This window comes from Homo sapiens, chromosome 15 (genome assembly GCF_000001405.40).
Source record: "Homo sapiens chromosome 15, GRCh38.p14 Primary Assembly".
Taxonomy (NCBI): domain Eukaryota; kingdom Metazoa; phylum Chordata; class Mammalia; order Primates; family Hominidae; genus Homo; species Homo sapiens.
The window spans coordinates 49,537,764-49,558,861 of NC_000015.10; the positions used below are offsets into that span (position 1 = coordinate 49,537,764).

At 41.6% G+C, this 21,098-nt stretch overlaps 1 protein-coding gene and 1 long non-coding RNA gene across 29 annotated transcripts in view; one reads left to right on the forward strand and one right to left on the reverse strand.

The window, feature by feature from the left end:
- FAM227B (family with sequence similarity 227 member B) overlaps positions 1 to 21,098 on the reverse strand; it is a 293,849-nt gene that overhangs the window by 210,794 nt on the left and 61,957 nt on the right. For all 28 annotated transcript variants that reach the window (XM_047432224.1, XM_047432222.1, XM_047432221.1 and 25 more), the window contains one exon: positions 3,917 to 4,043. In XM_047432224.1, the coding sequence (XP_047288180.1) occupies positions 3,917 to 4,043 (127 nt within the window). The remainder of the gene's footprint in view (positions 1 to 3,916; positions 4,044 to 21,098) is intronic.
- Positions 611 to 19,826, forward strand: LOC105370811 (uncharacterized). The gene is made up of 3 exons (XR_001751537.2): positions 611 to 698; positions 18,259 to 18,373; positions 19,688 to 19,826. It is a non-coding gene; the product is annotated as an uncharacterized LOC105370811 (long non-coding RNA).

Consider the following 21,098-nt stretch of genomic DNA (forward strand, 5'->3'; position numbering starts at 1 on the left):
CCACAATGTAGAACCTGGAAGGAATAATCCAGTGAAATAAGCCAGACACATAAATAAAAATATTTCATGATCTCACTGATATTTGGAAAATAAGAAAAATCAAAGATACAGAAATAAAGAATAAAATATTGGTTACCGGGACCAGGCAAGGTGGGTGGGGTACAGCATGAATGGGATGATAAAGGTTAGAGGCTATGAAGGAGCAGACATGTAGGATGAACTAGTCTAAAGATCTAATGTACAACATTAATGTACTAGTTAATAAAACTGTACTGTTAAAAAAAGAATCACGGACAGAAAATTTTGAAAGCAATAAGGTAAAGAAAATTCCTCACATACAAGGGAGTGTGGTGGCTTTCAGTGGATTTTTCAACAAAAACTTTGCAAGCCAGGAGAGAGTTTGATTATGCGGTTGACACTTGAAGAATATAAATTGAAGTACTTGGGTTCACTTACATATGGATTTTCATCTGCCTCTACCACCGCCAAGACCAATCCCTGTTTTTCCTCCTTTTCCTCAGCCTACTCAACATGAAGATGACAAGGACAGCTCAGCCAAGCTTCTGATTCCCTGGAACCTGGAGCACTTCATCAGTTTGGCCGCAGAAGGCACAACTGCTCTGGGGGACCTAAGCTTAGGGTCCCTGGAAGGTGAAAGCATTGACTCAGCTTTGGCACTGGAGAAGCAGGATGCTCTGGTAGGCTGAGACTTTGGGTCCCCAGGGGGTGAGGTGCTACTTCACTTTGGGTACCAGGGGGTGCAAATGCTCCAGTGGGTCAAGGCTTCAGGTCCTGCCCTTTCTCTCTCTTCATCTGAAAAGGTTGCAATGTAAAATTTAACTCTTTTAATGGTTTCCTATAAACCCTGTAGACTTTCTTCATTCTTTTTTCCTTTTGCTCCTCTGACTGGATACTTTCAATTGACCTGTCTTAGAGTTCACAGATTCTTTCTTCTGCTTGATCAAGTCTGCTGTTGACACTGTCTATTGCATTTTTCATTTCATTCACTGTATTCTTAAACTCCAGAGTTCTGGTTTTTTAAATTCCTATTTCTTCATTGACCTCATTGTTTTCAAGTATCTTTTTCTATTGTTTAGTTGTCTATCTGTGTTCTCTTTTTAGTTAACTTAGTTTCCTTAATTATTTTGAATTCTTTATCAGGAAATTGTTGAGTATCCATTTATTTTGGGTCAGTTACTAGAAAATTATTGCATTCTGTTGGCGGTATCATGTTTGTTTTCCTTGTTTCTTTTTGCCTTGCATTAATGTCTGCACATTTGATGGTGCAGTCACCTCTTCCAGAATTTACATGCTGGTTTTGGTGGGGAAAGAGCTTCAACTATGGGTGGGTGTGAAGGCATTGACTAGGTGAGGTGTAGTGTTTCTGGCTTGGTGAGCATGCAACAGCTTACATTCCCCATGCAGCTCTGTCAGATGAGGTCAGCATCACTGAAAATTGCAGCATCCTCAGTCGCCAAGGCTAGTGGTGTCTGCAATGGCTGTGAGGGTTGTTAGCGTCTTCAGCTACAAAGGCTGCTGGGATCTTACTAATCTCTTTTTCTCCCATAGTGGAATTCATGCCCACAGATATCCCTAAAAATGCCAGGTTCAGTTTGTGGGCATCTTCGTGGTGGTAGTAGTGGTGGCATCAGTGTCTGATGTTCAGTGCCCACAAAATGGCCATGGTGCCAGGATTTGGAGTATGAGTACACATGAAGAGTCAGTGGCTCCAGGGTCTGGGGCAGTAGGGACATTGGTGCCTGTGGTGCAGGTCCCTCTGCAGCAGCATTAATAATGGTTTGTGGGACATGGGAACTTTTGGAGAAACAAGAAAATGAGGTCTGGAGAGTAAATTCAGGCAGAGCTCAGGAATCTGAGGTGGTGTTGCAGTGGGTCCAGTGTCATGGGTGCAGGTGTTGCCCTAGGATCTGGGGTCCAGAGCATGGGCATGTGCAAATTTACTGTTGCTCTAGAGTCCACAATGCAGATGCAGATGCTGCAGCAGTGGCTCTGGTGTCCATAGGAGGTGTTTATGGAGTGGCTGTAGAGCTAGAATTTAAAGTGAAGACATGTGTGGAGTAAAAGTGGCTCCATGGTCCCAGGTGCAGGCTAGCTTGTCGTGAAAATGACTTTGGAATATGAAACATGGACATGCATGCTCCTGCAACAAAGCTGAGGCCTAGAATGTGGGTATGCAAAGAGTGTCTGTGGCTCTGGAGTCTGTGGCATGCATGGTTTTGGATGTGAGTAGGTCCTGGCCCTGGGTAGCACAACAGTGGCTTCTTATTGAGGATGGAGCACAGCAGTCTCTCTCTCTCTCTCCAGGAGGTCAAAACAGCAATGGCTGTTGGTTAACCATCTCAGTGGAAGAGCCAGCAGTGTCCTGTGTCCTGAAGACAGAAAGGATGAACACTAAGGGGACATCTGATGTGAAAGCTGCAGGGAGTGTGTGGCTGCCTCAGGAACTGTTGAAGTCCTTAGTAGAAAAGGTTGCTAGGATCCTTTGCAGAGCAGGCCACTGGAGACCAGAGTGGTACCTGCCTCATGACTGATTCTGATATTCCCCATCTTTCTTTGTTCCTAGCTGTATCCAGATGTCTCACATATGCCAATCTCCCCAGAAATCCTTTCTGTGCAATTATTGGTTTTTGCTGTACTGTTTTGCTGTAGGTTTTAAATTTGACTCTTAACCCCTTCTAGGACTATTTTTGTTCATGGGTAGCTGTCTAATTATTTTGTGTGTGTGTGAGAGAGATAAAAGCTGGTATAACCTAATCCACCGTGTTGCTCATATCATTTATCTCTCCCACTTCTTATAAGGACACCAATCATATTGGATTAGAGCCCACCCATGTAATGCCATTTAACCTTAATTACTTATTTAAAGATCACACCTCCAAATACAGTCACATTGTGAGGTGTAGTAGAGATGAATTTACTTCAGCATATGAATTTTGGGGAAGATACAATTCAGTTCATAACATGTCTGTAGAAAATTCTTCTGCCCTTCATCATGTCCTTTTCTTGTAGTATCTTTGTTTGAATGCAGTGGTCATTTCGTTTTTGTTTCTTATGTTTGAATTAATTTGATTTTTTATATAACTGGCAGGAGATTCTTACCCGTGTGTATTCATAGGTGGTTTCTCAGGGTTGTTTTCAAGTCTTTACCTCTCAAAGGCTCCCTCCATAAAGTATAAAACATTTTCTTATAAAAGTGATTTGGTTAGTAAAAACTGACATTAAGCAGTTTTAAAAATCAAATAACATTTAGATTGAAATATTTACAAGAACTATGTGAAAACAGTTAATAGCTTCTGGTGGTTAATAATAATAATCTTATAAAAAATGCTGGGAGGTCATTCTAGGAACATGAAACTATATTTCTATACCTTAGTTTTAAACTCTAGTACTTAAATTTCTTGATAAATGTTCTAGGATAGAGTTTTGCTTTCCTTTAGCTTTTCAATCCTACCATTTTCACCTACACACACACAGTGATTCACAAACAGGTTTTCCTTGATTAATGTTCTCTGAGAAATTAAATTATTTCTAGATTTTATCCTAAATAATATTATTCGCTAATTAAATATAAGTAGTATTCTAAAAGCAGTTTAAAACATGTATGGTCCAAATATAGTACATACATGGTATGACTATTTCTGTGACATTTCAGTTTTCCATAATAATTCCATTGATTATAAGATATTTGGCTCTAAATTTAATAAGTAATTAATTATGGTATAATGAAATGTTCAGAAGAAAATAAATAACATTTATTTTAACACATGGGTACTGCTATGGCATGCTTTGTAAGAAAAAGAACTACCAATATTTTTGGATGGAATAAATAAAATACTGCAACCCCAAAATTTTAGAAACCAAAACAATGATTAATATTTAAATGATATATTCATACCTGAACACCAAAGAAAAATGTTATTCCCTAGATCTTCTTTAAATTCATCATTAAAGAGGTAACTCGATTCTGGAAATGCTTCATGGAACGTTGCATATATGGCTTGTGCCAAACAATCAGGATATATCTACCAAAATAAAATCAAATTAGATTAATTTTATATTTTTAAATTTTAATATATGTCAGCTGCCAAAGAAATTATTATTTTTTAAATTTGCCTTGCAATTTATTAACCGAATAAAAATTCGCCATTTTTTAAATTCTAAAATCACATTTATATAAATTAATGTACGTCACTATGCCTGAAAGCTAAATTTGAACTGGAATATGTTTCAGTAAGGAGCAATGCCACCCTCTCCACTCCCTCCAACCACCTGGAAATTAAATTTCTTTGGTTTCCTTATGATTTTAAATTTTAGTTTTTAAAACTAGTTTTACATTTATTTAATATTTTTAACTTTTATTTTATATTCAAGGGTACATGTGCAGGTTTCTTATATAGGTAAATTGCATGTTAAGAAGGTTTTGTGAACAGATTATTTCTTTTTATAAACATTAGTACAATTTATTGAGAAAGTAAGTCTGAGTCACAGCCAGTGGAGGGAGATGATGAAATTATTTGGGTTGGATTGTTGTTGTTGTTTTAAAAATTTATTTTGATTTCAATAGTTTTGGGGGAACAAGTGGTATCTAATTGCATGGAAAAGTTCTTCAGTGGTGATTTCTGAGATTTTGGTGCACTCGCCACCTGAGCAATGTGCACAGTACCCAATTTGTAGGCTTTTATCCCTCATCTCCCTCCCATTCCCATCCCCCTCCCATCCTTCCCCCTGAGTCCCTAAAGTCCACTATATGTATGCCTCTGCATCCTCATAGCTTAGCTCCCATGTATAAGTGAGACCATATGATGTTTGGTTTTCCATTCTTGAGTTACTCCACTTAGAATAATTGTCTGCAGCTCCATCCAGGTTGCTGTGAATGCCATTATTTCATTCCTTCTAATGGCTGAGTAGTATTCCATTTTATATATAAATATATATATATATAATTAAAACTAGTTATACATTTATTTAATATTTTTAACTTTTATTTTATATTCAAGGGGACATGTGCTGGTTTCTTATATAGGTAAATTACATGTGAAGGAGGTTTGTGAACAGATTATTTCTTTTTATAAACATTTCTTTTTGTATATATATATACCACATTTTCTTTATCCACTTGTTGGTTGATAGGCATTTAGGCTGGTTTCATATTTTTGCAATTGCAAATTGTGCTGCTATAAACATGCGTGTGCAAGTGACTTTTTCATATAATGTCTTCTTTTCCTCTGGGTAGATACCCAGTAGTGGGATTGCTGGATCAAACGGTAGTTCTACTTTTAGTTCTTTGAGTAATCCTCATACTGTTTTCCATAGTTGTTTTATTTGTTTACATTACCACCAGCAGTGTAAAAGTGTTCCCTTTTCACCACACCCATGCCAACATATATTATTTTTGGATTTTTTACTTATGGTAATTCTTGCAGGAGTAAAATGGTATCATATTGTGGTTTTGATTTGTATTTCCCTAATAATCAGCGATGTAGTGCATTTTTTCATATGTTTGTTGGCCATTTGTATATCTTCTTTTGAGAACTGTCTATTCATGTCCTTTGCCCACTTTTTAATGGAATTATTTGTTTTTTCTTGCTGATTCGTTTGAGTTTCTTGTAGATTCTGGATATTAGTCCTTTGTCGGATGCATAGCTTGCAAATGTTTGCACCGACTCAGGAGGCTGTTTACTGTGACGATTATTTCTTTTGTTGTGCAGAAGCTTTTTAGTTTAATTAAGTCCCATCTGTTTGTTTTTGTTTTTGTTGAATTTGCTTTTGGTTTTTTGGTCATGAACTCTTTGCCTAAAGCAATGTCTAGAAGAGTTTTTTCAATGTTATCTTCTAGAATTTTTATGGTTTCAGGTCTTAGTTTAAGTCTTTGAGCCATCTTCAGTTGACTTTTGTATAAGAGACAAGTATCCAGCTTTATTCTTCTACATGTGGTTTGCCAATTATCCCAGAACCATTTGTTAAATAGGGTCTCCTTTTCCCACTTTATGTTTTTGTTTGCTTTGTCAAAGATCAGTTGGCTGTAAGTATTTGGCTTTATTTCAGTGTTTTCTATGCTCTTCGATTTGTCTACTTGCCTATTTTTATACTAGTACCATGGTGTTTTGGTAACATAGCCTTGTAGTATAGTTTGAAGTCGGGTAATGTGATGCCTCTAAATTTGTTCTTTTTGTTTAGTCTTACTTTGGCTTTGTGGGATTTTTGGTTCCATATGAATTTTAGAATTTTTTCTAGTTCTGTGCAGAAAGATGATGTTACTTTTATGGGAATTGCACTGAATTTGTAGGTTGCTTTTGGCAGTATGATCATTTTCACAATATTGATTCTACCTATCTGTGAGCATGGGATGTGTTTTTATTTGTTTGTCTCATCTGTGATTTGTTTCAGCAGTGTTTTATAGTTTTCCTTGTAGAGGTCTTTCACCTCCTTGGTTAGGTATATTCCCAAGTTATTTATTTATTTAATTTATTTATATTTGCAGCTGTTGTAAAACGGACTGAGTTCTTCATTTGATTCTCAGCTTGGTTGTTGTTGGTGTATAGCAGTGCTACTTATTTGTGTACACTGATTTCATATCCTGAAACTTTAGTGAATGAATTTGTCAGATATAGGAGCTTTTTGGATGAAGACTTTAGGGTTTTCTAGGTATACAATCATATCATCAGAAAACAGTGACAGTATGACTTCCTTTTTACTCATCTGGATGCTCTTTATTTCATTCTCTTCTTTGATTGCTCTGGCTAGGACTGCCAGTATGTTAAATAGAAGTGGTGAAAGTGGGCATCCTTGTCTTGTTCCAGTTCTCAGGGGGCAATGCTTTCAACTTCTCCCCATTCAGTATAATGTTGGCTGTGTATTTGTCATAGATGGCTTTATTACCCTGAGGTATGTCTCCTCTTTGCCAATTTTGCTGAGGGTTTTAATCATAAAGTGATGCTGGATTTTGTCAAATAATTTTTCTGCATCTATTGAGATAAACATATGCTTTTTAATTTTGTTTTTGTGATGTATCACATTTATTGACATATTGATGGTATGTTAAACCATCCCTGCATCCCTGTTATGAAACATACTTGATCGTGGTGTATGATATTTTTGATATGCTGTTGGAATTGGTTAGCTAGTATTTCGTTGAGGATTTTTGCATCTATGTTCATCAAGAATATTGGTCTGTAGTTTTCTTTTTTTGTTATGTTCTTTCCTGGTTTTGGTATTAGGGTGATCCTGGCTTCATAGAATTAGGGAAGAGTCCCTCTTTCACCATCTTGTGGAATAGTTTCAGTAAAATTGGTACCAATTCTTCTTTAAATGTCTGATAGAATTCAGCTGTGAATTCATCTGATCCTCAAACTTTTTTTTGGCAATTTTTTTATTACTGTTTCAATCTCACTACTTGTTATTGCTCCATTCAGAGTTTCTATTTCTTCCTGATATAACCTAGGACAGTTGTATATTTCCTGGAATTTATCCATCTCCTGTAGATTTTGTAATTTGTGTGCATAAAGGTGTTCATAGTAGCCCTAAATGATCTTTTGTATTTCTGTGGTATCGGTTGTAATGTTTCCCATTTTGTTTCTAATTGAGCTTACTTGGATCTTCTATTTTCTTGCTTAATCTTGCTAATGGTGTGTCAAATTTGTTAATCTTTTCAAAGAATCAACTTTTTGTTTTGTTTGTCTTTTATAGTTTTTTGTTTCAATTTCATTTAGTTCTGCTCTGATCTTTGTTGTTGATTTTCTTCAGCTGGGTTTGGGATTGGTTTGTTCTTGTTTCTCTAGTTCCTTGAGATGTGACCTTAGATTGTCTATTTGTGCTTTTTTAGGCTTTTTGATATAGACATTTAATGCTATGAACTTTCCTCTTAGCATGGCTTTTGCTGTGTCCCAGAGGTTTAGATAGGTCATGTCAGTATTACTGTTCAGTTCAAAGAATTTTAAAATTTTCGTCTTAATTTCATTGTTCACCCAAAGATCATTCAGGAGCAGATTATTTAACTTCCATGTATTGGTATCATTTTGAGGGTTCCTTTTGGAGTAATTTCTAATTTTATTCTACTGTGGTCTGAAAGAGTACTTCATATAATTTTGATTTTCTTAAATTTATTGAGACTTGTTTTGTGGCCTATCATATGATCTCACCAGAAGGGAGCAGGAGTAGCTATTTTTTTTTTTTTTAATTTTATTATTATTATACTTTAAGTTTTAGGGTACATGTGCACAACGTGCAGGTTTGTTACATATGTATACATGTGCCATGTTGGTGTGCTGCACCCATTAACTCGTCATTTAGCATTAGGTATATCTCCCAATGCTATCCGTCCCCCCTCCCCTCACCCCACAACAGGCCCCGGTGTGTGATGGTCCCCTTCCTGTGTCCATGTGTTCTCATTGTTCAATTCCCACCTATGAGTGAGAACATGCAGTGTTTGGTTTTTTGTCCTTGCAACAGTTTGCTGAGAATGATGGTTTCCATTTTCATCCATGTCCCTACAAAGGACATGAACTCATCATTTTTTATGGCTCCATAGTATTCCATGGTGTATATGTGCCACATTTTCTTAATCCAGTCTATCGTTGTTGGACATTTACGTTGGTTCCAAGTCTTTGCTATTGTGAATAGTGCCGCAATAAACATACGTGTGCATGTGTCTTTATAGCAGCGTGATTTATAATCCTTTGGGTATATACCCAGTAACGGGATGGCTGGGTCAAATGGTATTTCTAGTTCTAGATCCCTGAGGAATCACCACACTGACTTCCACAATGGTTGAACTAGTTTACAGTCCCACCAACAGTGTAAAAGTGTTCCTATTTCTCCACATCTTCTCCAGCACCTGTTGTTTCCTAACTTTTTAATGATCGCCATTCTAACTGGTGTGAGATGGTATCTCATTGTGGTTTTGATTTGCATTTCTCTGATGGCCAGTGATGATGAGCAGAGAAGTTTAGAGGAAAAAGAATAAAAAGAAATAAAGCCTCCAAGAAATATGGGACTATGTGAAAAGACCAAATCTACGTCTGATTGGTGTACCTGAAAGTGATGGGGAGAATAGAACCAAGTTAGAAAACACTCTGCAGGATATTATCCAGGAGAACTCCCCCATCTAGCAAGGCAGGCCAACATTCAAATTCAGGAAATACAGAGAATGCCACAACGATACTCCTTGAGAAGAGCAAGTCCAAGACACATAATTGTCAGATTCACCAAAGTTGAAATGAAGGAAAAAATGTTAAGGGCAGCCAGAGAGAAAGGTCGGGTTACCCACAAAGGGAAGCCCATCAGACTAACAGCGGATCTCTTGGCAGAAACTACAAGCCAGAAGAGAGTGGGGACCAATATTCAACATTCTTAAAGAAAAGAATTTTCAGCCCAGAATCTCATATCCAGCCAAATTAAGCCTCATAAGTGAAGGAGAAATAAAATACTTTACAGACAAGCAAATGCTGAGAGATTTTGTCACCACCAGGCCTGCCCTAGAAGAGCTCCTGAAGGAAGCACTAAACATGGAAAGGAACAACCAGTACCAGCCACTGCAAAAACATGCCAAATTGTAAAGACCATCAAGGCTAGGAAGAAACTGCATCAACTAACAAGCAAAATAACCAGCTAACATCAAAATGACAGGATCAAATTCAGATATAACAATATTAACTTTAAATGTAAATGGGCTAAATGCTCCAATTAAAAAACACAGACTGGCAAATTGGATAAAGAGTCAAGACCCATCAGTGTGCTGTATTCAGGAAACCCATCTCAAGTGCAGAGACACACATAGGCTCAAAATAAAGGGATGGAGGAAGATCTACCAAGCAAATGGAAAACAAAAAAAGGCAGGGGTTGCAATCCTAGTCTCTGATAAAACAGACTTTAAACCAACAAGGAGTAGCTATTCTTGTATCAGACAAAATAGACTTTAAAGCAACAGCAGTTAAAAAAGACAAAGAGACATTTATATAATGATAAAGCAATCAGTCCAACAGGAAAATGTCACAATCCTAAACTTATATGCATCTAACATAGGAACTCACAGATTTGTAAAACAATTATTACTAGGCACAAGAAATTAGATATACAGCAACACAGTAATAGTAGAGGACTTCAATACTCCACTGACGACACCAAACAGGTCATCAAGATGGAAAGTCAACAAAGAAATAATGGACATAAATTATGCCCTAGAACAAATGGACTTAACAGATATTTACAGAATAGTCTACCAACAACTTCAGAATATACATTCTCTTCATCAGCAGATGGAATTCCAGTACTATGTTGAACAACTGGTGACAGTGTGTATCCTTGTCATGTTCCAGATCTTAGAGGAAAAACTTTCAGTTTTTCCCCATTCAGCATGATACTAGCTCTGAGTCTGTTATACATGGTTTTTACTATGCTGAGGTATATTCCTTATATCACCAATTTTTTGATAATTTTTATTATGAAGGGATATGGAATTTTATCAAATGCTTTTTTTCAGCATCAGTTGAAATGATCATATGGGTTTTATCCTTCATTCTGTTAATACAATGTATTACATTGATTGATTTGCATATGTTGAACCATCCTTCCACTTCAGGAATAAATGCCACTTGGTATTGATGAATGATCTTTCTCACGTATTGTTGAATTTGGTTTGTAGTATCTTGTTGAGGATTTTTGCATCAATATCCATCAGTGATACTGGTCTGTAGTTTTCTTTTCTTTTCTTGATGTGCCTTTGTCTAGTTTTGGTATCCAAATAATACTGCCTTGTAGAATGAGTTTGGGAGTATTCCCTCCTCCTCTCTTTTTTGGAAATAGTTTGAGTAGAATTGGTATTAGTTCTTCTTTGAATGTTTGGTAGAATTCAGCAGTGAAGCCAGCAAGTCCTGGGCTTTTCCTTACTGGGGTACTTTTTATTATGGCTTTGATCTCATTACTTGGTTTGTTCAGGATTTGAATTTGTTCCTGGTTCAATCTTGGGAGGTGGTAATATTTAGAAATCTGTCAATTTCCTCTAGATTTTCTAATTTATTGGCATACAGTTGCTCATGGTAGCAACTAATAATCCTTTGACTTTCTGCAGTATCAGTTGCAATGTCTCCTTTTTCATTTCTGATTTGTATCTTGTCTTTTTTACTTAGTCTGGCTAACGATTTGTCAATTTTTTCTAACTTTTCAAAAAACAAACTTGTTTTATTAATCTTTCTTATCATTTGTTTTCATTTCAATTTCATTTACTTCTGCTCTGATCTTTATTATTTATTTTCTTCTCCTAATTTTGGGTTTGGTTTGCTCTTGCTTTTCTAATTCTTTAAGACACATTGTTAGAGACTGTTTCTTTGAAGTTGTTCTTTATTGATGTAGGCACTTACAGCTATAAATATGCCTCTTAGTACTGCTTTCACCCTATTCCATGGATTTTGGCATGTTGTGTTTCCATAGTCGTTTGTTTAAAGAGATTTTTCAAATTCTTTCTTAATTTCTTCATGAGGAGCATATTGTTTAATTTCCACGTTTACTTTCAAATTTTCTTCTCTTATTGATTTGCATATGTATTTTATTTATTTATTTATTTTTATTGATTATTCTTGGGTGTTTCTCGCAGAGGGGGATTTGGCAGGGTCATAGGACAACAGTGGAGGGAAGGTCAGCAGATAAACAAGTGAACAAAGGTCTCTGGTTTTCCTAGGCAGAGGACCCTGTGGCCTGGCCTTCCACAGTGTTTGTGTCCCTGGGTACTTGAGATAAGGGAGTGGTGATGACTCTTAACGAGCATGCTGCCCTCAAGCATCTGTTTAACAAAGCACATCTTGCACCGCCCTTAATCCATTTAACCCTGAGTGGACACAGCACATGATTCCGAGAGCACAGGGTTGGGGGTAAGGTCACAGATCAACAGGATAAGAATTTTTCTTAGTACAGAACAAAATGAAAAGTCTCCCATGTCTACCTCTTTCTACACAGACACAGCAACCATCCGATTTCTCAATCTTTTCCCCACCTTTCCCCACTTTCTATTCCACAAAACCGCCATTGTCATCATGGCCCGCTCTCAATGAGCTGTTGGGTACACCTCCCAGACGGGGTGGTGGCCGGGCAGAGGGGCTCCTCACTTCCCAGACGGGGTGGTTGGCCGGGCGGGGGGCTGACCCCCCCCACCTCCCTCCCGGATGGGGCGGCTGGCCGGGCGGGGGGCTGACCCCCCCACCTCCCTCCCAGACGGGGCGGCTGGCCGGGCAGGGGGCTGACCCCCCCACCTCCCTCCCGGACGGGGCGGCTGGCCGGGCTGGGGGCTGATCCCCCCACCTCCCTCCTGGACGGGGGCGGCTGGCCGGGCAGGGGGCTGACCCCCCCACCTCCCTCCCGGACGGGGCGGCTGGCCGGGCAGGGGGCTGATCCCCCCACCTCCCTCCTGGACGGGGTGGCTGGCCGGGCGGGGGGCTGACCCCCCCACCTCCCTCCCTGACGGGGCGGCTGGCCGGGCAGAGGGGCTCCTCACTTCCCAGTAGGGGCGGCCGGGCAGAGGCGCCCCTCACCTCCCGGACGGGGCGGCTGGCCGGGCGGCGGGCTGACCCCCCCACCTCCCTCCCGGACGGGGCGGCTGGCCTGGCGGGGGCTGACCCCCACCTCCCTCCCGGACGGGGTGGCTGCTGGGCGGAGACGCTCCTCACTTCCCAGACGGGGTGACTGCCAGGCGGAGGGGCTCCTCACTTCTCAGACGGGGCAGCTGCCAGGCGGAGGGGCTCCTCACTTCTCAGATGGGCGGCTGCCAGGCGGAGGGTCTCCTCACTTCTCAGACGGGGCGGCTGGGCAGAGACGCTCCTCACCTCCCAGACGGGGTCACGGCCGGGTAGAGGCGCTCCTCACATCCCAGGTGGGGCGGCGGGGCAGAGGCTCTCCCCACATCTCAGACGATGGGCGGCCGGGCAGAGACGCTCCTCACTTCCTAGATGGGATGGCGACCGGGAAGAGGCGCTCGTCACTTCCTAGATGGGATGGCGGCCGGGCAGAGACACTCCTCACTTTCCAGACTGAGCAGCCAGGCAGAGGGGCTCCTCACGTCCCAGACGATGGGCGGCCAGGCAGAGACGCTCCTCACTTCCCAGACGGGGTGGCGGCCGGGCAGAGGCTGCAATCTCGGCACTTTGGGAGGCCAAGGCAGGCGGCTGGGAGGTGGAGGTTGTAGCGAGCCGAGATCACACCACTGCACTCCAGCCTGGGCACCATTGAGCACTGAGTGAACCAGACTCCGTCTGCAATCCCGGCACCCCGGGAGGCCGAGGCTGGCGGATCACTCGCCGCTAGGAGCTGGAGACCAGCCCAGCCAACACAGCGAAACCCCGTCTCCACCAAAAAAATACGAAAACCAGTCAGGCGTGGCGTCACGCGCCTGCAATTGCAGGCACTCGGCAGGCTGAGGCAGGAGAATCAGGCAGGGAGGTTGCAGTGGGCCGAGATGGCAGCAGTACAGTCCAGCTTTGGCTCAGCATGAGGGAGAGGGAGAGGGAGAGGGAGAGGGAGAGGACGCATATGTATTTTTAAATTGTTATATCCTCTTGCTGAATTGACCCCTTTATTATTATGTAATAACCTTCTTTGTTTCTTCTTATAGTTTCTGTATTTAAGTCTATTTTGTCTGATACAAGTATAGCAATTCCTTTTTTTGGTTTCCATTGGCATAGAATACTTTTCTTCATATCTTTATTTTCAGTCTATGTGTATCTTTATAGGTGAAGTGTGTTTTTTGTCGGCAACAGAACAATGAGTCTTGTTTTTTCATCCATTCAGCCAGTCTTTTAATTAGAGTTTAGTCCACTTACACTCAATATTATTATTGGTAAGTAAGGGTTTACTTCTGTGATTTTGTTATTTGCTTTCTTGTTCTGTGTTCTTCTCTTCCTTCTTTCTTTGCTCCTGTCTTACTGTAGTGAATGTGATTTTTCTCTGGTGACATGCTTTAGTTTCTTGCTTTGTATTTTTTGTGTATCTACTGTATGTTTTTTGGTTTGAGGTTACCATGAGGCTTGCAAACACTATTTTAAAACCCATATTTTAACCTGGTAACAACATAATACTATTTCCATAAACAAACTAATAAAAACTCAATGGTTTAAATTTGTCCCCCCACTTTTTAACTCTTTGTTGTTTCTATTTATATCTTACTGTATTATGTCTTAAAAAGTTGTTGAAATTATAATTTTTGAGTGGTTCCTCCTTTATTTAGTCTTTCTACTTAGGATAAGAGTAGTTTACACACAACAGTTGCAGTGTTTTAATATTCTGTGTTTTTTCTGTGTACTTACTATTACCAGTGAGTTTTGTAAATGTAAGTGATTACTTATTGCTCATTAATGTTTTTTCTTTCTAATTGAAGTCCTCCCTTTAGCATTTCTTGTAGGATAGGTCCGGTATTGCTGAAATCCCTCAGCTTTTGTGTGGGAATATCTTTATCTTTCCTTCATGTTTGAAGGATATTTTTGCCAGATATACTACTTTGGGTAAATGTTTTTGTTCCTTCAGCACTTTAAATATATCATTCCATTCTCTTCTGGCCTATAAGGTTTCCACTGAAAAGACTGCTGCCAGATGTACTGGAGCATTATTGTATGTTGTTTCTTTCTTTTATCTTGCTGCTCTCAGGTCCTTTCTTTATCCTTGACCTTTGGGAGTCTGATTATTAAACATCTTAAGTAATCTTTGGGTTAAACCTGCTTAGTGTTCTATAACCTTCTTGTACTTGGATATTGGTATTTTTCCTTTAGGTTTAAGGAAATTGCCTATTATCCCTTTCAATAACCTATCTACCCCATCTCTTTTTCTACCTCCTTTTTAAGGCCAACAACTCAGATTTGCCCTTTTGAGGCTATTTTCTAGATCCTGTAGGCATGTTTCATTGTTTTTTGTTTTTTTCTTTTGATTTCCTTGTGTTTTCAAATAGCCTATCTTCAAGCTCACTAATTCTTTCTTCTGCTTGATCCATTCTGCTATTTAAGGACTCTGATGCATTCTGCAGTGTGCCAATTGCATTTTCAGCTCCAGAATTTCTGCTTCTTTTTATTTCTATCTCTTTGTTAAGTTTATCTGATATAATTCAGATTCCTTCTCTGGGTTATCCTGAATTTATTTGAGTTTCCTCAACACAGCTATTTTTAAGTTTTGTTTCAAAGGTCACATATCTCTGTTTCTCCAAGACTGGTCCCTGGTGCCTTATTTAGTTAATTGCTGAAGTCTTTTCCTGGATGTGTTGATGCCAGTTGATGTTCTTTGGTGTCTGGGCATTAAAGAGTTAGGTATTTATTGTAATATTCACTGTCTGCGCTTATTTATAGCTGTTCTACTTGGGAAGGTTTTCCAGATACTTGAAAGAGCTTGGGTGTTGTGATATAAGCTGTATCTACTTTAAGGGACACCCCAAGCCCAGTAACACTGTGGTTCTTGCAGACTTGTGGAGGTAATTCTCTGAATTACCAGGCAGAGACTTTTTTTCTCCTCCCTTACTTTATCCCAAACATACAGAATCTCTCTTTCTGTTCTGACACCTAAAAATGTAGGTGGAGTGACACAAGCACTCCTGTGGCTATCACCATTATGACTGCTTTGGGTAAGACGTGAAGCCAGAACAATGCTGGGTCTCACTGAAGGCCTGCAGCAATCACTCCCTAACTACTGTATATGTTTGCTCAAGGCCCTGGGGCTCTACAATCAGCAAGTGGCAAAGCCAGCCAGGCCTGTGTCCTTCCCTTCAGGGTGGCGAGGTTCCCCAGGCCCCTGGTAGGTCCAGGTGTGCTGCCTGGGAGCCAGAGACTAAAGAAAAAAAACCTTAGAGCTGGCACTCAAATCACAAGATGCAGTCCTTCCTACTCTTCCCTCCCCTTTCCAAAGGCAGAGTCATCTCACCCTGTAGCCACTGTCACACCATGCCATGAGGAATATTGCCACACTATCAGCCAATGTTCCCTTAAGGGCCACAGGCTCTTAAATCAGCTCTTGTTGAATGCTGCCTGGCCTGGGACACAACCTTCAGGGAAGTGGGCTCCTCTCTGGCCCAGGGCAGGTCCAGAAATGCTGCCCAAGAGTCAAGTCCTGGAATTGGGGACCCCAAGAGCACAGCTGATGCTCTCCCCACCTGTGGCCATGCTGGTACCTGAAGCCAGCAAGTCTCAGAGTATCACCCAGGGCCCTCAATGTAGTACTTGGGTATTGCTGCTAGTTATTCAGGGCTCAAGGGCTCTTCAGTTAGCAGGTGATAATGTTGCCAGGATTGGGCCCTTTCCTTCAAGGCAGTGTGTTCCATTTTTGCCCAGTTTGTGTCTAGAAATGTCATCTGGAAACTAGGGCCTGGAATAAGGGCCTCCCATCTCTGTCTGATGCCCTATCCTGCTGGGGTTGAGCTGGTATCCAAGATGCAAGTCAAAGTCCTCCCCACTCTTCCCTCTCCTTTCCTCTAGCAGAAGGAAGGGGTCTCTTTCAGAGCTGTGAGCTGTGCAGCCTGGGGTTATGAGAGAGGTGATGCCGGTACTCCCTTGGCTGCCCCTACTGATGTGTCACTATGTTGCGTGCACACTCCAGTCCATTGTCTCTGGACCTCGTTCAGTAATAGGTCTTGCTTAAGAGTCGCAGTCCTTATGGCCTAGACTCTCAGATTTACTTGGAGACACAGAATGTGTAGCCCTCTGTGGCAAGGTTTGCAGGTTCTCAAGTTCTGACCGCTGGGATCCACAATTCCCCTCTGTCTAGGGCTGGTTTAAATGCTCCCTCTGTGGGCCGGTATCAGCTGAGTTTGGTTCGGTTTTCTTTCTGCTCTAACAGGACAGCACTGAGTTAACTATCTCACAATGTTGTGTTCTTTCCCCAGCACCCAGAAATGCTCTCTGCACTACACTGCCACTGCTGGGGGTTGGGGAGGGGTGGTGTTGGTGATTCCAGACTGCTTTTCCTATCTCTTCAGTGCCTCTTTCAGTGATATGAAGCTAAAACTAGGCACTATAAGTACTTGGCCTGATTTTTGTTTTTTTATGAAGGTGTTTTTTTCTGTGTAGATAGTTGTTAACTTGGTGTTCTTGTGGGGGGACAATCAGTGAGGTTTCTATTCTGCCATTGTGCTCTGCCTCTGCCTGTTTTATCTTAAACTAGAATAGCAACTTCTGCTTCTTTTCTGTTTGCTAGGTGGATTTTTCTCCATCCCTTTACTTTGAGCCTGGGGGTATCACTGTATGTGAGATTGGTCTCTTGAAGACAGCATACAGTTGGGTCTTCTTTATTCAACTTGTCACTCTGTCCCTTTTAATTGAGGCATTTAGCCCATTTACATTCAAGGTTATTATCGATATATGCAGATTTAATGCAGTCATTGTGTTTTTAGCTGGTTATTATGCAGACTTCTTTATGTGATTGCTTTATAATGTTGTTGGTTTAGTGGCCAGTAAAAATCTTTCCTTTCCATATTTAGCACTCTCTTCGGGACCTCTTATAAAGCAGATTTGTTGGTAGTGAATTCCCTTAACATTTGCTTATCTGAAAAGGAGCTTATTTCTCTTTCACTTATGAAGTTTAGTTTGGCTGGATATTAATTCTTGTTTGGAAATTCCTTTAAGAATGCTGAATATAGGCTGCCAGTCTCTTCTGGGTTGTAGGGCTTTTGCTGGAAGGTCTGCTGGTAAATTGGTGAGGTTTCCTTTGTAGGTGACTGCCTCTTCTCTCTAGCTGCCATTAATGTTTTTCTTTCATGTCAACCTTGGAGAATCTGATGACTATGTGACTTGGATATGGTCTTCTTGTATAGTATTTTGCAGTTCTTCACAGTTCCTGAATTTGAATGTTGGCCTCTCTAGTGAGGGTGGGTAATTTTTCACAAACAATATTCTGAAATGTTTTCCATGCTGCTTGCTTTCTCTCCCTCTTTCAAGGATGTCAATGAGTCATAGATTTGGTCTCTTTACATAATCCCATATCTCTAGAAGGTTTTGTTCATTCTTGTTCATTGTTTTTTCTTTGTATTTGTCTGATTGGTTGATTTTGGAGAATCAGTCTTTGAGCCATGAAGAGTCTTTCCTCAGCTTGGTCTATTCTGCATTAATACTTGCAACTGTATTCTGAAATTCTTGAAGTGCGTTTTTCAGCTGTATCAGTGCTTCTTCTTTTTAAAAATGGCCATTTTGTCTTCTACCACCTGTATCATTTTATTGTATTCCTTAGAATCCTTGGATTGAATTTCAATGAATTCTTTTTAATCTGTATTCTAAATTCTGTATCTAGAATTAGGTTATTATCGATGCATATTTGACCTGCTCATCGAGTCTGACAAGTGACCCGGGAACCATTTCATCCTGATTAAGAACCATTATTGGGGAACTAGTACAGTTATTTGGAGGTAAGCAGTCTATCTTTTTGAGTTCCCAGAGTTCTTGCACTTGTTCCTTCTCATCTTCATGAGCTGATGTTTCTTCAATCTTTAAAGTTGCTTTCTTTGGATTTTTTTTTCTTTTATCTTATTTGATTTTGTCAGGGGTTTAATTGTTGTATAAGGTGGCTTCAGTTTACTGACTTTGTTTCTGAAAGAAATTAGAAGGCTATACAGCTCAGCTCAGCACTCCTGGGCAGGGTGCTCTAACTCTGGAGAGCTGGTATCCTGCCCCAGCTTTGTTCCCTGGCCCCTTGAGGTTAGAAATCTGCTGTGCTGGTGGGCTAAAGTGTTCTTGGGCCACAGGCCACAACATTCTGATGTGTGGTGCCAGCAAAAGCACTTCATCAGACAGGGGCCATTCTGTTGGAACTCTTGATGGCCAGGCACTGTTTGCCACTGCAAGAGCTTTAATGTAGGCCCCCGGGAGGCAGCCCATTTGGGCATCCATTGCCATACTGCAAGCAACCATGGAAAGGCTGGACCCAAGGAGAGGCTGACAGACAGGGGGCACTCAGGTCAGACTGGCCCATCTCCGAGGCAAGGATACCCTGCTCTGTTCAGGTCTGACAGTTCCCCTAAAATGAAAGTCTCCTAGGGTAGCATGGCAAGCCTTCAGGTATGGGTATTTCTGGTTGTGCTCCATCACAGACATTCCCGCACTAATCCCTCTGGCCTCTGCACAGGCTACAGTCCTGCTCCAACATATCTCCAACCAGCTCTCCCTGCTAGCTCAAGCGTCCATAGGGGTCATGGGTCCTTTGATGCCAGGATTCCAGAGGTCCCTGGTGAGAGTGGGTTGCCCCTTGCCTGCTCATCTCACCTCTTCCCCAGGAGTCACTGGGGCCAGGAAGAAGTCCTTGTGCATGGTAGCCCCATGCAGAGTTCCCATATTCCTCCCCCTCCATCCCAGTATGTGTGTTCTCCCTCCATCCACTCTCAGTGCCTTCCCTCTGATGATATGCTCAGAGTGCACAAGTCTTCCCAGTGTCCCAGTCCCTTGGTAGCAGATATTCCTTCTGGCTGCATCTAGTCAGCCACCTTAGAAATTATTATTTACTTTATGAAATATATATGTCTTTTTTTTTCTTATAACTTGCTTTTGGCCATTTTATTACTTCTTTGTACCTTTAATTGAGGGACATAAACAAGTAAGAGTTGAAAATCCAGTCAATCTGACAATGTTTTGGGAAAAAAACTTAATTCAGATAGAGAATAAAATGAACAATTAAGATTTCATAATTATTCATTTCACTTAACTTTGCTGTTGCTTTCCTCTTTTAGAAAGTCATGTACAGAGGAGTTTAAGACGACAGATGGGAAGCAGCTAGTATACACTGCTCTCATGGAGATGAAACAAAGTGGTGAGTAAATACTAGTTCCTCAAGTGGATTGTCAAGGAGATCCCATGAAGATTCACCAAGGAAGCAACAGGACCAACAGAGAACAAGAGGAGCGAAGCCAGGCAGCTGCCCACCCAGAACTGATGGAGAGTGGGGGAAGCTCCCTCACGCAGGGAAAGGTGAGTGAGTGAGAGTCCTGAGGGGATCTATACTTCTGTGATAGACCTTTGCAATCCCGGACATGAGAGATATTCCTGACCCCCAGGAGCCTCCAGATTGAGATGGAGAGCCACCTAGAGTCTTTGCAGAAGAACCATTGAAGCCCACATGGGGCCCTACAGGCCTTGAATCCCTGAGTAGTCCAGTGCCATCTGCTGTAGCCCCAACAGAGGCTGCAGCCATGGTGCTAAGAAGCAGCCAGACTGCCCCACTGCTCCTCAGTAGGCAAGGCTTGCCAGCATGGGTTTCCAGCACAGTGGCCCCACCCCAACCTGAACCTGGGTGGTCATGGCTCTGAGTTTCTCCAGGAAGCACCCAGGCTGCAGACTATGTGACCTCCTATCCCCACTGCTCCTCATCCGGCAGGGCTTGCTGACTTGGGCTCCTAATGCCTAATGCCCCAACTTTGCCTGAATACTGTGGGTGGTCACAGCTCTGCATTTCTCCAGAAAGCACCCAGACTAAAGACCGTGTGACCCCTACCCACACTGCTCCTTGCAAGGCAGGGCTTGCCAACCTGGGCTCCTAGTGCAGCAGCCCTGGATCCACCTAAACACCTGTTGTCAGTCACAGCTCTGCATTTCTCTGGGACAAAACTCCAAAAGGTAACAAACAAGGCTTGGCACCTTTGCATTGTTCTGACAGTGAAGTCTAGCACTGCTTGGGTAAAAGTGAAGTGCAAGTGTGCCATGTGCCCCACAGCTGCCAGTCTCCATTGCTCCAGCTGAGGGATCTTCCCCTCCTCAGTGAAAGGCCCACTGCATAGCCACCCTTACCCTACTTGAACATTTCATCTGCAGTCCACAGCCATTCTGAAAACCCAACTCCCACAGGTTTGTGATATTCCTTTTGGTTCCCCCCACCTAAGTGTTCTGCCTGCCCCTGGTTTCCACCATCTAAGCATTTTACCTGCTGCCACCTAAGAGTTTGGCCAGTGACCCAGGGACCAACCCGCCACTCTTCATCATAACCAGCACTTGAACTCTGGGTTAGCCTGATTCTGGCACAGCCCTTTCAGGACTCATACCCATTGCTCTGCAAGCCATCGAGGAGCCTGGAAATTACCTACGTACCCTACCCCTACCCTGTTCCAACTCTACAGGCACTGGACCACTTCCCCAGGGCCCAAAGTC